This window comes from Homo sapiens, chromosome 3, assembly GCF_000001405.40.
Source record: "Homo sapiens chromosome 3, GRCh38.p14 Primary Assembly".
NCBI lineage: Eukaryota > Metazoa > Chordata > Mammalia > Primates > Hominidae > Homo > Homo sapiens.
The window spans coordinates 186,146,964-186,159,556 of NC_000003.12; the positions used below are offsets into that span (position 1 = coordinate 186,146,964).

The 12,593-nt window shown below is 40.5% G+C and overlaps 1 protein-coding gene across 3 annotated transcripts in view; it reads right to left on the reverse strand.

Annotated features, from left to right (window-relative positions):
* Positions 1-237: 237 nt before the first annotated feature.
* Positions 238-12,593, reverse strand: part of DGKG (diacylglycerol kinase gamma) — a 215,034-nt gene continuing 202,678 nt past the window's right edge. For all 3 annotated transcript variants that reach the window (NM_001080745.2, NM_001080744.2, NM_001346.3), the window contains one exon: positions 238-3,225. In NM_001080745.2, coding sequence (NP_001074214.1) covers positions 3,127-3,225 — 99 coding nt within the window. In that variant the 3' untranslated portion in view covers positions 238-3,126. The remainder of the gene's footprint in view (positions 3,226-12,593) is intronic.

Here is a 12,593-nt window from a genome sequence, read left to right on the forward strand (position 1 = left end):
TCTGGAGGCTCTTCCAGGTTCTGCCAAGTATTTCCTAATTTATTTGGCAATTTTAACGTATCTTTTCCATCTGTGGAAAGAACTCTCTTGAGAGGAGCTGGTCTCTGACCTGAATATAATCATCCTACTAGGTCTATCTCCACTCTCAACTCACTGGGGAAAACCCACAAAGACTAAGCCATAATGAGACACAATTCCTAGCCCATCAGTTTAGGGACAACACAATGTACTAGAGAGTTCCTGCTTTACAGTTTTTATTGCTGTTGGGGTAGAAGCATGGGGGGCAGGTGAGAACATGTTTGTAGCATGGCCAGAATCAGAATAAGATAAGAAATAAGGGATTAGGTTCTCCCCTGACTAACCATGTGGCTTTGAGAAGTCACTAAACCTCATTAAGCCTTGTTCTCCTCATTGAGATCGAGATAATAATACCTTCTCTGCTAACCTCAGAGGTTGCTATGAGGGTCACTATGATGAGGGACTCCACCACAAGAAACCACAGTCATAGTGTTTAAAGGATGATTTGCAAGGCACGATTAAACAACAACACAAGATTTACTAAGGTTACCAAACTGGAAGTGCAATTCCACTGAAGTTGTTATACTCCATGCCTCTAAGAAGGACTTGGGATATGTCTCTCAAGCAACATTGCAAGTCCTGTGCACTAGGGTGCAGCAGGTAAGGGCCATTTTCTGCACTGCCCCTTCATGAGACCTGTGAGTCTCTGAGAATCAATTTCACCTGTTGATAGTGCCATGTCTCAATAGCCTCAATCTTGGGGATCATGGCTGAAACACATGCACGAACTTCTGTAAATGTCTTAGAATCAGTGACCCCAAACCTGAACCTGCCTCAGTTTCAGAAACAAGTGGCTTCCAAGATAGTACCTGTAGTAATTCTGGAGCTTGTTGGTCCCATCACCAAGAATACCATCATTAAAGATATTCTTCAGGTGGCCTGGTTTTCCCCTTACTTAGCATTCTGCACTGTTAGGTTGAGCAGAATGGTCCAAGATCTTGCTCCTAGGTGGTCCTTCACAGTTAAGTGCCATTTGTACACACAATCTTAATATTCCCTTCTTTGTCCAAAGCTCCTGTCCAATGCAAGATTAGAGGCAGCTCAGTGGAACGATATCAAGTGGGTCCAAGTTTCCACTGATAAATCTCAGAGAGGGATGGAGGCCCAATGAAGCTCTGCATGGCCTTGCCCTTGGGAAAGGATGGTAATGCTGGCACTTGCTGAATGAAGCCCACTGAGCTCTGCTGAGACCCCTCTGTCCTGGCTGGCAGTATCTTGCAGAAGACGCCTCAGTCCTTCTTGTGACTCTCCACTGAGGTCATCCCTGCAGCCAAGGTTGTTTCCAAACTAAGAGACTATGATGACCATGATGAGGTGACATGTGGAGAGTTCAGTCTGATGATCTGTTTAGTACCTTCGATCTCAGACCAACTTCTTTTCCATTCAGGTCAGAGAGAACCTCTGGGAAGCAGCATGAGGCGCTCGTTTTCTTGTGTGGGGATATCCCATCCACGCATGTGCTGTACGTTTGTTCCTCCCTGGCAACCTGGATCCAAGTGGACTCACTTTTCAGTGACCAGAAATGACCCTACTCTGAGATGTGTGGGTTCTTTTCTCCATTAAATATCTTTGTAACGGCACCTACTCTCAAGCTGCATTAGCCAAGACACCATGGAAAAGTCTCTGAACTTTTCTGAGACTCAATTTTCTTATCTGACAAATGGGAGAGTAAATCCAGCCCAGCAGGTCTTTCATGCTTGTTTTGAGGATCCAGAATAGGAGTTCTCGGTCTCTTCGTTCATAATAGGGAGCTACTTTCATTCCCCTTAACCCTTGTGATCACCACAGGGAGATGCGTCCTGACAATGAAACGGTGGAGTGGGGGAGTGAGAACCTTCTTTTTCCTTACCACTTTCTGTCTCATACTACCTATGTTTTTTTTTTCCAATGAGGAAAAGTCCATCAGTAAATAAATATTTATATATATATATATATAAATATATAGGCTAAATATATATATATACACGCACACACACACACACACGCGCGCACACACGTTAAGACCATCAGAAGGTCCTTCAGGTCATACTCTGGGAGTGGTGAGTGCAAAGAAGCAGGAGGGAACCGTCTCCTGGTTTCCCCAGCAAAGTTCCTTCCTTCCCATCTTTTCTGCCTTCAGGAATAGTCTGCCACCAGGGCTTGGAACTCAAACAGGAAACACGCTTTGGCTTGAAAAAGAAAGAAGCTGGGGGTGGTTTTTTTTTTCCTTCCCTTTTTACACAATATTATGACACCAATTTGAAAAATAAATCCCAGTTTCTCCGCTCTCCCTCCCAGGTGTTCACAGAACTAAGAAAATAAATACCACATCTAAGGTGTGCTATGCAGGCAGCTCTGGGGGCTCTTGGAGCCGCCTCTAAGCAAACATGTAGACACCAGGAGAAGGTTCCTGGAAAATAACAAGTGCCCACCGACGGCGCAGAAACCCAAGAATGGAAATACAGCTTTCCACAGCCTTTCTGCCTCTTCAGCAGGTTCACGGAGAAGTTGTCACTCAAAGGACGACCAAGAAACCAACGTGCGCCTGCTGAGCCCTGCCAAGGATTATGCTCTGAGAGCCGGAGGCCGTTTTGTCTCTGTACAGAGGGAACTTTGTGCAAATTCTCTGGAACCAGAGCTCCTTCCCTTGGCCACATCTGATCTCACCATAGGCAGGAAACCTGCAGCCTGCTCCTCGCGAGCGTCCATGAGGAAACTTGCAGGGCTGGTAGAAAGAAAGGGGGATTTCCCTTCAGTCTCAGAAAATTCTGCTCAAGGCCTGTGGGAATGTGGAGGTTGCTGCCTAAGCCAGCCACAACCTCATGGGCCCTAAGTCCATTCAAAATGTTTTGTTGGCACTGGCTCTGTTAGGGGTGTACCCACTGTTGAAACAGAATGTATGGCAAGGTGACGTTTTCTTCCCGAAGGGTGGCTTTGCTTCCACTGGTTAGAGAAGAGTGTGTATGTGTGTGTGTGTGTGCATGTGTGAGTGTGCACATAAATTGTGTGTGAGTGTGCATTATAGTTTCTTGCTTTCTCTCTTGGTTTAGCTGGTGTTTGGCACACTGTTTAGTCTTTTGAACGGCTCTTCCTTCTCAACGAGAAGAAGCTGCTCTTCTGGGGAGGCCCCATCATCATGGGCGCTTGGTTCTTGTGAGTAATTTTAATCTAAAAGCAAAGAGGCAGAAATGAATTAGTGGCATGCAAATCTCAGTAGCCTAAGGGAGAGTGAGTCGCAGAGAAAGGAAAGGCCAGCTTCAGGATGGAAGGAGCCCCATGCAGAAGGACAACTGTCCTTGAACGGCTTCAAAATTGGCAACTTGACCCTGACTGGGCCTGGAGTTTGGCACGGCTGGAAGTGAGGGGCGGAAGCACTGGGGAGAGACAGGTGTGAGCTTCCCACGTGGTGATCAGCTCACACCTGTCTTGTGTTCTTGGTATTCACAGACTCTCAGAATGTCACAGCCAGAGGAGACCTCAGGGACTCAATCGACCCCTCTGCAGGAGCCCATTAGAGTAGCCTAAGTTCACAAACAGAGCAGCAGCACAATTAGAGCCCAGTTCTTCAGATTCCCAGCCTCCATTGCTCCTGGTCATTCCTGCCAAGGCAGTGCTGAGATGTCAATCAAGTGACCGAGGCTTTGGTCTGACCTCTGACCAAGCACCATTATGTGGAGAGTTCCCAATTGAGTGCCTTATGTATTTCCTCTTTTCTTGGCCTTCGAGGGAAGACCCCAAATTCTTTTTAAAACTTTTTTTTCTTTAAATTTTAGGGTTTATAAGTGTTTCCTCCTGTAAACTTTAAGTCAATCAGAAGTGAAAGACACTGATGTATTCTCATTTTTGCCTTTATTCCCAACCTTATCCTCAGGTCATGGCTTTGAAATAGTTAATTCCTACCTGAGTGTGGCCTTGCCACCTTAATAATCTACATTATCCATCCACAATATTTATTAAGTATGATAATGCTCAGAGTAGGACGATGAAGTGGGAACAGGAAGCAATTAGAATTCAAAGACCTGGGTTTGAGTCCAGACACTTCCACTTCTTTGCTGTGAACATTTAGATGAATCATTGACTCTTCAGAGCCAGTGCTTACTGAACTGTAAATGAGGAGGATAACATTTGTCTTATTTTCCTCACAAAGATCAAAGAATAGATTGTCAATGAAAGCCCACTGTAAACTGTAAAATGGAAAGTAACAGTTAGTAAAATCCTTGTCTTATGGAGAAAGAGAAGGAGAAAGATGGATGTCAAAAGAAACAGAACCTATGAACTCATTCTTGTGGTTTTTACCACATTATAGGAAATGACAGTGTGACCGCAGGGAACAACAGAACTCTTGAACACAGAACCATCAACGAGTTTAAATCAATGTCGGCTAAACCAAGTGGTGTCCAAAACAAGGTGGGCATGGAATGAGAAAAGTCTGATGGGAACAAGGAGGAAAGAATTTTAAAATCTGAAGGAAGGAAAGGAAATGTGTTGATGAAAAGGGAGTGGGTAGAGAAGTCACAGATGAGCAGGTTGAGTTCAGGGCAAACTATGAGAAATGTGGTCATGGACACAGGTGGGGCAGCTGGTGTGGGGTTTTAAAGGGAGGCAGAAAGACTGGGTTCACATGAAGAAATGAGGAAGCATGAGAGATGGCATTCTGTGCTGGAGAATAACATGACACAAAAGAAAAGAGTTTGAGGGAAATTATTTAACAGCTGTTGTCAAGGTGAGCTGGGGTAGTGAGTGCCTGGCTAAGAGGGCACTACTGTAAGCCAGGTTTACATTGAAAGGGCTCCAGGAACTGTAATCCCAGCACTTCGGGAGGCTGAGATGGGCGGATCACTTGAGCCCAGGAGTTTGAGACCAGCCTGGCCAACATGGTGAAACCCCGTTTGTACTAAAAATACAGAAATTAGTTGGAGGTGGTGGCAGGCACCTGTAATCCCAGCTACGTGGGAGGCTGAGGTAGGAGAATCACTTGAACCCGGGAGGCGGAGGTTGTGGTGAGCCAAGATTGCACCACTGCACTCCAGCCTGTGCGACAGAGAGAGACTCCATCTCAAAAAAATAAAATAAAAATAAAGGGCTCCAGGAAATGGAAGGGAAGGATAGAACCAGAAGACACTGTGGACAATTAGCATAACCTGGTGCTAAAAGCTGAAAATGATCCTTATGTTGGCTTCCACCAGCCCAGAGACCTAAAAGGGGAGAGAGTCTCTGTTTTTTGATAGTCACCAGAGGAGAAAACCGAGAATGCATCAACATCATTTTGTGCTGTGTGTCTTATTGTGGGCATTATGTTTATCCCAGGACGCACGGAAGCGAGGCATAGGCTGGAGACTGGAGACTCGGACAGCACTTATCTGTGGCATGCAATGTAGCATTCTTTGTTCCCCTGTGGAACACGTTTGTGGCATGTTCCCCTGTGGTCAGCCTTCTCTCACTCCTGATCTCCCATGCCCATGAGGGGAAGGACTTCAGCTTATTCACCACGGCACTCTCTGAGCCAGTGCAGTGCCTGTTCAGGGTACAACACACTGTGGAAGTACTGACTGATAAGCCCTACGTGCTGGCAGTGGAGATGGCTCTGTTGGAAGCAGAGGATGGTAGCTGGTGCCTACATTTCCCGCTGGTAGAGCCCCTCCCCCACATTTTTTTATTTTTGAGACAGAGTCTCGCTCTATCACCCAGGCTGGAGTGCAGTGATGCAATCTCGGCTCACTGCAACCTCCACCTCCCAGGTTCAAGCGATTCTTCTGCCTCAGCCTCCTGAGTAGCTGGGACTACAGGTGCTTATCACCATGCCTGGCTAATTTTTTTATTTTTAGTAGAGACGGGGTTTCACCATGTTGGCCAGGATGGTCTCGATCTCCTGACCTCATGATCCGCCCGTGTCGGCCTCCCAAAGTGCTGGGATTACAGGCACCAGCTGCCGCGCCCGGCCTTTTTTTTTTTTTTTTTTTTATTTAGATGACACAAGACCCTTGCTTCTCTTTTTTATCCCTTTAGCTGAGCTATTTATTTGCTAGTTAGTACCTCCAGGGCACGGAAGAGGAAGTAAAACTCAAATCTCTCCTGCTTGTTTTTCAGCGGTTCTGACAAAGGTCTTGACAGGGTAGGAGTCTGGGGCTCCTGGGTAACATAATATTTTGGTCAGCTTTGTGGATTCTATTACTATAGAACCGAAAGAAGTATGAAATCATATCCTCATTTCCAGTCAAAGAGATATCAGTCCCTTACCCTCAAATTAGGGGCTAGCAGGTAAAATAGTTATGATCCTATTTTAGGAGGTAGTTGGATGTGGCTAAGCCTGCCTTTTCAAACCCTGATAGAAAGAGGTCATCCCACGTTTCTGTAGTTAGCACCCAAGCTTCTTTGGTAATTGGGCGAGTCAGGCCATTAACTAAAGTCTCCATGATTTTCTTAAAAACTATTCACATCACTGACAGCACCTGGCCAAGTGCTAAGATCAGCAGCTTAGTGCATAGTTTTCTGTTTGATCACAGAGAGAATTGATACACTAGACTCTTGCATGATAGTTCGAAGTTCACAAAACTATTACAGCATGTAATTTCCCCTTTAAAATAGAATAAAAATGTGAACTTCACTAGTGCTGGGGATTGACTTTGTTGGGGGCTGTTTTCTGCAAACCAACACATTCTTATTACTTCAAGAGAAGCAAGAGATTGAGGGACTTCTTCCTGAATGTTGCCTTCTCAGGGTGTGTAATTCAGATAATGCCTAGTAAAATGGCCAATAACCTGAAGTGTGAACCCTTCCCAAACCATTTGAAAGGTGTCTGAGGGGCCAGGCGCGGTGGCTCACGCCTGTAATCCCAGCACTTTGAGAAGCCCAGAGGGGCAGATCGCATGAGCGCAGGAGTTCAAGACCAGCCTGGGGAACATGGTGAAACTTCGTCTCTACAAAAAATACAAAAATTAGCTAGACGTGGAGGCGCGCCCTTAGCTACTTGGAAGGCTGAGGTGAGAGGATCGCTTGAGCCTGGGAGGTCGAGGCGGCAGTGAGCCGTGTTCTCGCCACTGTACTCCAGCCTGGGTGACAAAGTGAGACCTTGTCTCAACAACAACAAAACAACAAAAAAGAAAAGTGTCTGAGGTCTGCTGTAATTTGAACTGGAGATGCATAGAAAGGCACAAATCTGGAAGGTCTCAAATAGTCTCTGCGATATTTTAAAAGTTAAAGAAATATGGTGAGCCTAAGGGAGGAGGAAGGTTTGCATGGCTTTCCGGTCTTAGTTGTTTCCGGGCTCTCCAAGATCCTAGAATGTGCTGCTTCCTGACAGTGTTTCCTGCCATCAGAGGCCTTCGAATGTAAATGGACAAGGCCAGGCGCAGTGGCTCACACCTGTAATCCTGGCACTTTGGGAGGCCGAGGTGGGGCAGATCACCTGAGGTCAGGAGTTTGAGACCAGCCTCGCCAACATGGTGAAATCCCGTCTCTACTAAAAAATACAAAAATTAGCCAGGTGTGGTAGTGGGCGCCTGGAATTCCAGCTACTTGGGAGGCCAAGGCAGGAGAATCACTTGAACCTGGGAGGCACAGGTTGCAGTGAGCCGAGATCGTGCCATTGCACTCCAGCCTAGACAACAGAGCGAGACTCTGTCTCAAAAAAAAAAAAAAAAAAAGAAAAGAAAAAGAAAAAAAAAAGAATGTAACTGGACAATCAGGTTTTGCAGAGGGTGGGGAAGAAGTGTGGGATTTATTGATGAGTTGGGAAGTTCAACTACGTCATTAGTTCTCAAAGTGTGGCTCATAGGCCAGCAGCATCAGCATCACCTTGGAACTTGTTAGAAATGAAAACTCTCTGGCATCCAGACTTACTGAACCAGAAAATCTGGGATGTGGCCCAGCAATCTGTGTTTCAGAACCCCTGTAGGTTATGTAGATGCATACTCAAGTCTGAGAATCACCAGACTAGATAAGTAGGATCATCTTTGACTTTGAGATTCTGCTATCGTCTAACTCTGGGAGAAGATTCTGAATTTTGAGGCTCAGATTATGCCACCTAACTGTGATGGTGAAGCACGAGAGATCATCTTACAGTGTAATAATAATGAGACAAGTTTCCCGAATAAATATATATATATGTTTGTATATACATATATAAACAAATATGGGCTTCTGTTTTTGTTTTATTTTGGTTTTGTTTTGTTTTTGTTTTTGTTTGGTTTTGAGATGGAGTCTCGCACTGTCGCCTGGGCTGGAGTGCAACGGCGTGATCTCGGCTCACTGCAACCTCCGCCTCCCGGGTTCAAGTGATTCTCCCGCCTCAGTCTCCTGAATAGCTGGGATTACAGGCACCCACCACCATGCTCGGCTAATTTTTTATATTTTCAGTACAGACGAGGTTTCACTATGTTGGCCAGGCTGGTCTTGAACTCCTGACCTCGTGATCTGCCTGCCTCAGCCTCCCAAAGTGCTGGGATTACAGGCATGAGCCACTGTGCCCAGCTGAAACCTTTCCCTAAATGTTGGGCATTTTAAGGAAATTTTTAGGAAATTTCCAACTTTTTGCAATGATAAGTAATGTAGACGTGACATTCTTATATATCAATCTCTCTGTATTTCTGGTAATCTGTATTTTACTTAGAATAAATTCCTAGAAGTATATGAACAATTTTTAAAAGTGAAAGTAAATGAACTAGATCAACGTATATTAATATTTATAACAGTTCTTGACACATGGGTCTACATGCTTTTCAGAATGGCTGTAACTGTTGATACTCTTGCCTCACTGTATGAGTGTCCTGGTCTCCCCATACCCTTGACAGCAATGAATATAAAGACAAAACAGCTGTGCTAATTGGTCAGTGAAACATGGCATGCCTTTCTCACTGTTTTAATTTGAAAATCTTTTCTTCCTTTTTTAAAAACTTGTGATATTAAATATTATTTCATAGATTTATTAGCCCATGACACTTCTTCTATGAATTCTCTGTTCACTATTGCATTGTTAGTATTTTTTTTTTCCGCTGGATTCTAATAGCTGGTTTCTTTATACCTTGTGAGAATTAACCTGATCTTTGGGATAGCGATTGCAAACATCTTGTCCTTAGTCTTTCGAAGATTCTATATTGATTTTTGACTTGTAGAAATTAAAATTGGTTAACAGTCAAATATGTCCCTTTTTCCTTAGAAAATCCCTGCCCCCAGTGTAATTATGATCATCTATTTTTTTTCTGGTAGCTAAGAACATTTAATACTGTAATTGAACTGGGGGGCTTTTTTTTGCTTTGGTTTTGTTTTTGGAATATAGTTTGAGGTGAGAGGTTCTATATAAAGACATTTTCTGAAACGCAATTTCTTGGATATCATATGCTAAACAGTTCATGCCTACCTAATTAGTTTATAATCTTTCTCTTTCCTTCATTAGTTTTTATGTATACTAGGGTTTCTCAAGGCTTGCTTCTGTACTATTGATTTATCTATCCATTATCATGCCAATAGCATGTTATTCAAATTATTGTGGCTTTATAATTATTTTAATATCTTGCGAGAAGTTATTTCTCAGCGTTCTTTTATAAAACATCCTAGAAATTGCATTGTTTGTAGAGTTAAAGAAACAATTGCATTGGGATTTTGGGATCCCTGTTCAGGAACATGGGATGTTCTGTGTTCAAATCCTTTTTTTTTTTCTTTATTGGTTAAATCTTATAGTCATCTTCATGCATTTTACACAGTTCAGTTTAGTATTTTATGTCTTTTATTGCTTATATAATGATATTTTAAGCTTTAATTATATCCTTTGAATTGATTATTGCTGGTATACTATTAATATTAATGCCGGAAAACTTAATATTTGTCCATTTTTTCTATAGGGTTTTATTGAAGTAATTTATCCTTTGAGGTTTTCAGTTTATTCTATTAGCTTTTTATGTTCATAATCATACCACCTACAAATAATGACAGTTTTGACTCTTTTCCAAATAATTATATTTCTTTTTCTAATTATATTTTCTAATTACATTTCTTTTCTGCTTCAAGTATATATTGCATTGGCTAAAATTTCCAATGTTAAAAATACATGTCTTGTTCATGATTTTAGTGAGAATTCCTCTAGTGTTTTACTATTAAGTAAAATATTGGTTATGGTTTAACATATATTTAACAAAGGTATTCATTAGTAGGGGAGAAGCTTTCTGATCTTAGTTTTCAGGAGTTTTTATCTTTAAAAATCAGAAATGTTGAATGTAATTGAATACTTTTGGGTCATCTATTTTATCATGTAGTTTTTCTATTTAAACTAATAGTAGAAGACTTTCCTTTGTTCCTTTAATATGCTCATAGGGGTGAATGATTCTTTTAATACATTGTTCAATTCTACCTACCAATACTTTTAACTAGAATTCTTATGTCATATTTATATATAGTCTATAGTCTATAGTCTTCTATTTTTAAATGTAATTTTTGTTAGGTTATTGCATGTCTTCATTTCATAAAATGGATTGAGTAGCCTTCCATCTTTGTCTGTACTATGAAACAGTTCACCTAAATACGTATTTCCTAGTAGTATGGAAGATCTCACCAATAAGGCCATCTGTTTTAAGATCATTTAGTATGTAATTCTTTGAAATAATTTAGTTTCATTAATGGTTACCAGGATTTTCATTCATCTTCTTAAGATGTTCAAGTTCATTAGAATCAAGATGATTGTATATTTTGTTTTACAATTTTTTTTCTTTTGAGACAGAGTCTCACTCCATCGCCCAGGCTGGAGTGCAGTAGTGTGATCTTGGCTCACTGCAACCTCTGCCTCTGAGTTCAAGCGATTCTCATGCCTCAGCCTCCCGAGGAGCTGGAATTACAGGCATGGGCCACCATGCCTGGCTAATTTTTGTATTTTTGGTACAGATGGGGTTTAGCCATGCTGGTCAGGCTGGTCTCAAACTCCTGACCTCAAGTAATCCTCGTGCCTCAGCCTCCCAAAGTGCTGGGATTATAAGCATGAGCCACCACGCCCGGCCTTGTTTTATATTTAAATAAAGCCACGGACACAGTTATATTTATATTTTTATATTACATTTATATTTTTTACCTTTTAATATGTTTGATTCCTTTCTCTTTTAAAAATTAGGTTTTCAAACATTTGACATATTTTAAGAACTAGTTCTAGAGTTTCCTGTTTTTAGTTATTTTCTTCTTTTATCTTTATTATTTTCTTCCTTCTGCTTCTCCTAAGATTGTTTTATTATTGCTCTTCTAATTTTAGTATTATTCATTACATTTTACTTCTTTTTTATATGATGGAAGATTATGAGGCTTTTAATTTACTTCCAAATATAGTTTAGGCTATATTCTATAATTTTTAAACTGGAGCCTTCTTATTTTTGTAATTTTTTGAGTAATCTACCATGGTGGCTTTGATCTCCTCATAAATCTCTTGTTGTTTAGGAGAATTTTTAAGTCTCCAAGTGACTAAATTTTGTTTATTCACTTAATCTTCTATTAGTAATTTCTAGCTTTATTACTTTGTGGTCAAAGAAAATGACCTTTATAATTTCTGCAACTGGATTTTATGGAGCTTTTTGCCTTGTAAACTAGTTTATGATCTAGTTTAATAAATATGAATGCCTGAACAAATATGATATTTAATTTCTTTATGAGTTATAGAGTTATTTCATCCAAGCATTTATTTTTTTGCTACTTAACCTCAAAGATGGAAACAAATATTTTCAAGCTTCTCAATATCTGTCTGTCAATTCTATATCAACCTTTTCTCAGAATATGTATTGATAGTTTTTTATATATTTTGATTCTGTTATTAAATATCTAACATTTTATGACCACTATATCTCATAATTGAATGTACTTTTTATCAAATAAAAAATGTGTTTACTTATTCTGCTTTATGCTTTAGGCACATGGAAAGGTTAGTTTGCCTAAAATTAGCATAATTAACATTACTATGTCTTCCTTTTAATTTCTTTATACCTGATAAAGGATAAAATAAGATATATATTATATATACGTATGTATAACCTTTCATTTTAGATGTATCTTTTGTAAGAAGCATATATTTGGATTTTCATTTTTAACTCAATATGAGAGTATTGATCTTTTAATAGGGAATTTTAACTCATCTATTTTTCTTTTATATATATATTATATATATACAGTCTTAACATCATTCAACTTGCTTCAAAAAATTTTTAAATGTTGGCTTATTTTTTGCTTTCTATCCTGTGCTACATTAATAGGGTTTATATATTTTAAATTCTTCCAGATTTGAAAGGTGTGCACCCTATTTTTAGTTTCGCTAGTGATTGTCTACCTATTAAAATTATCTTCTGATTTATACGTTTTGTCATCAAAGTGAAGAGAGACAATGAGAAACTTCACATATCTTTACTATTCCTTCAGCAGTGTCTCCTGCATGTTTTTGGCCTTTGTTAATATAATCTCAGGTTTGGGATACAGGTTATTAATATTTACATGATATGTCTTCTCTTTCAAAGAATGATTTTTTGCCATTTGCATTTATTGCATAAACATATTTAGCAGGTTTTTGGAAACTTCAT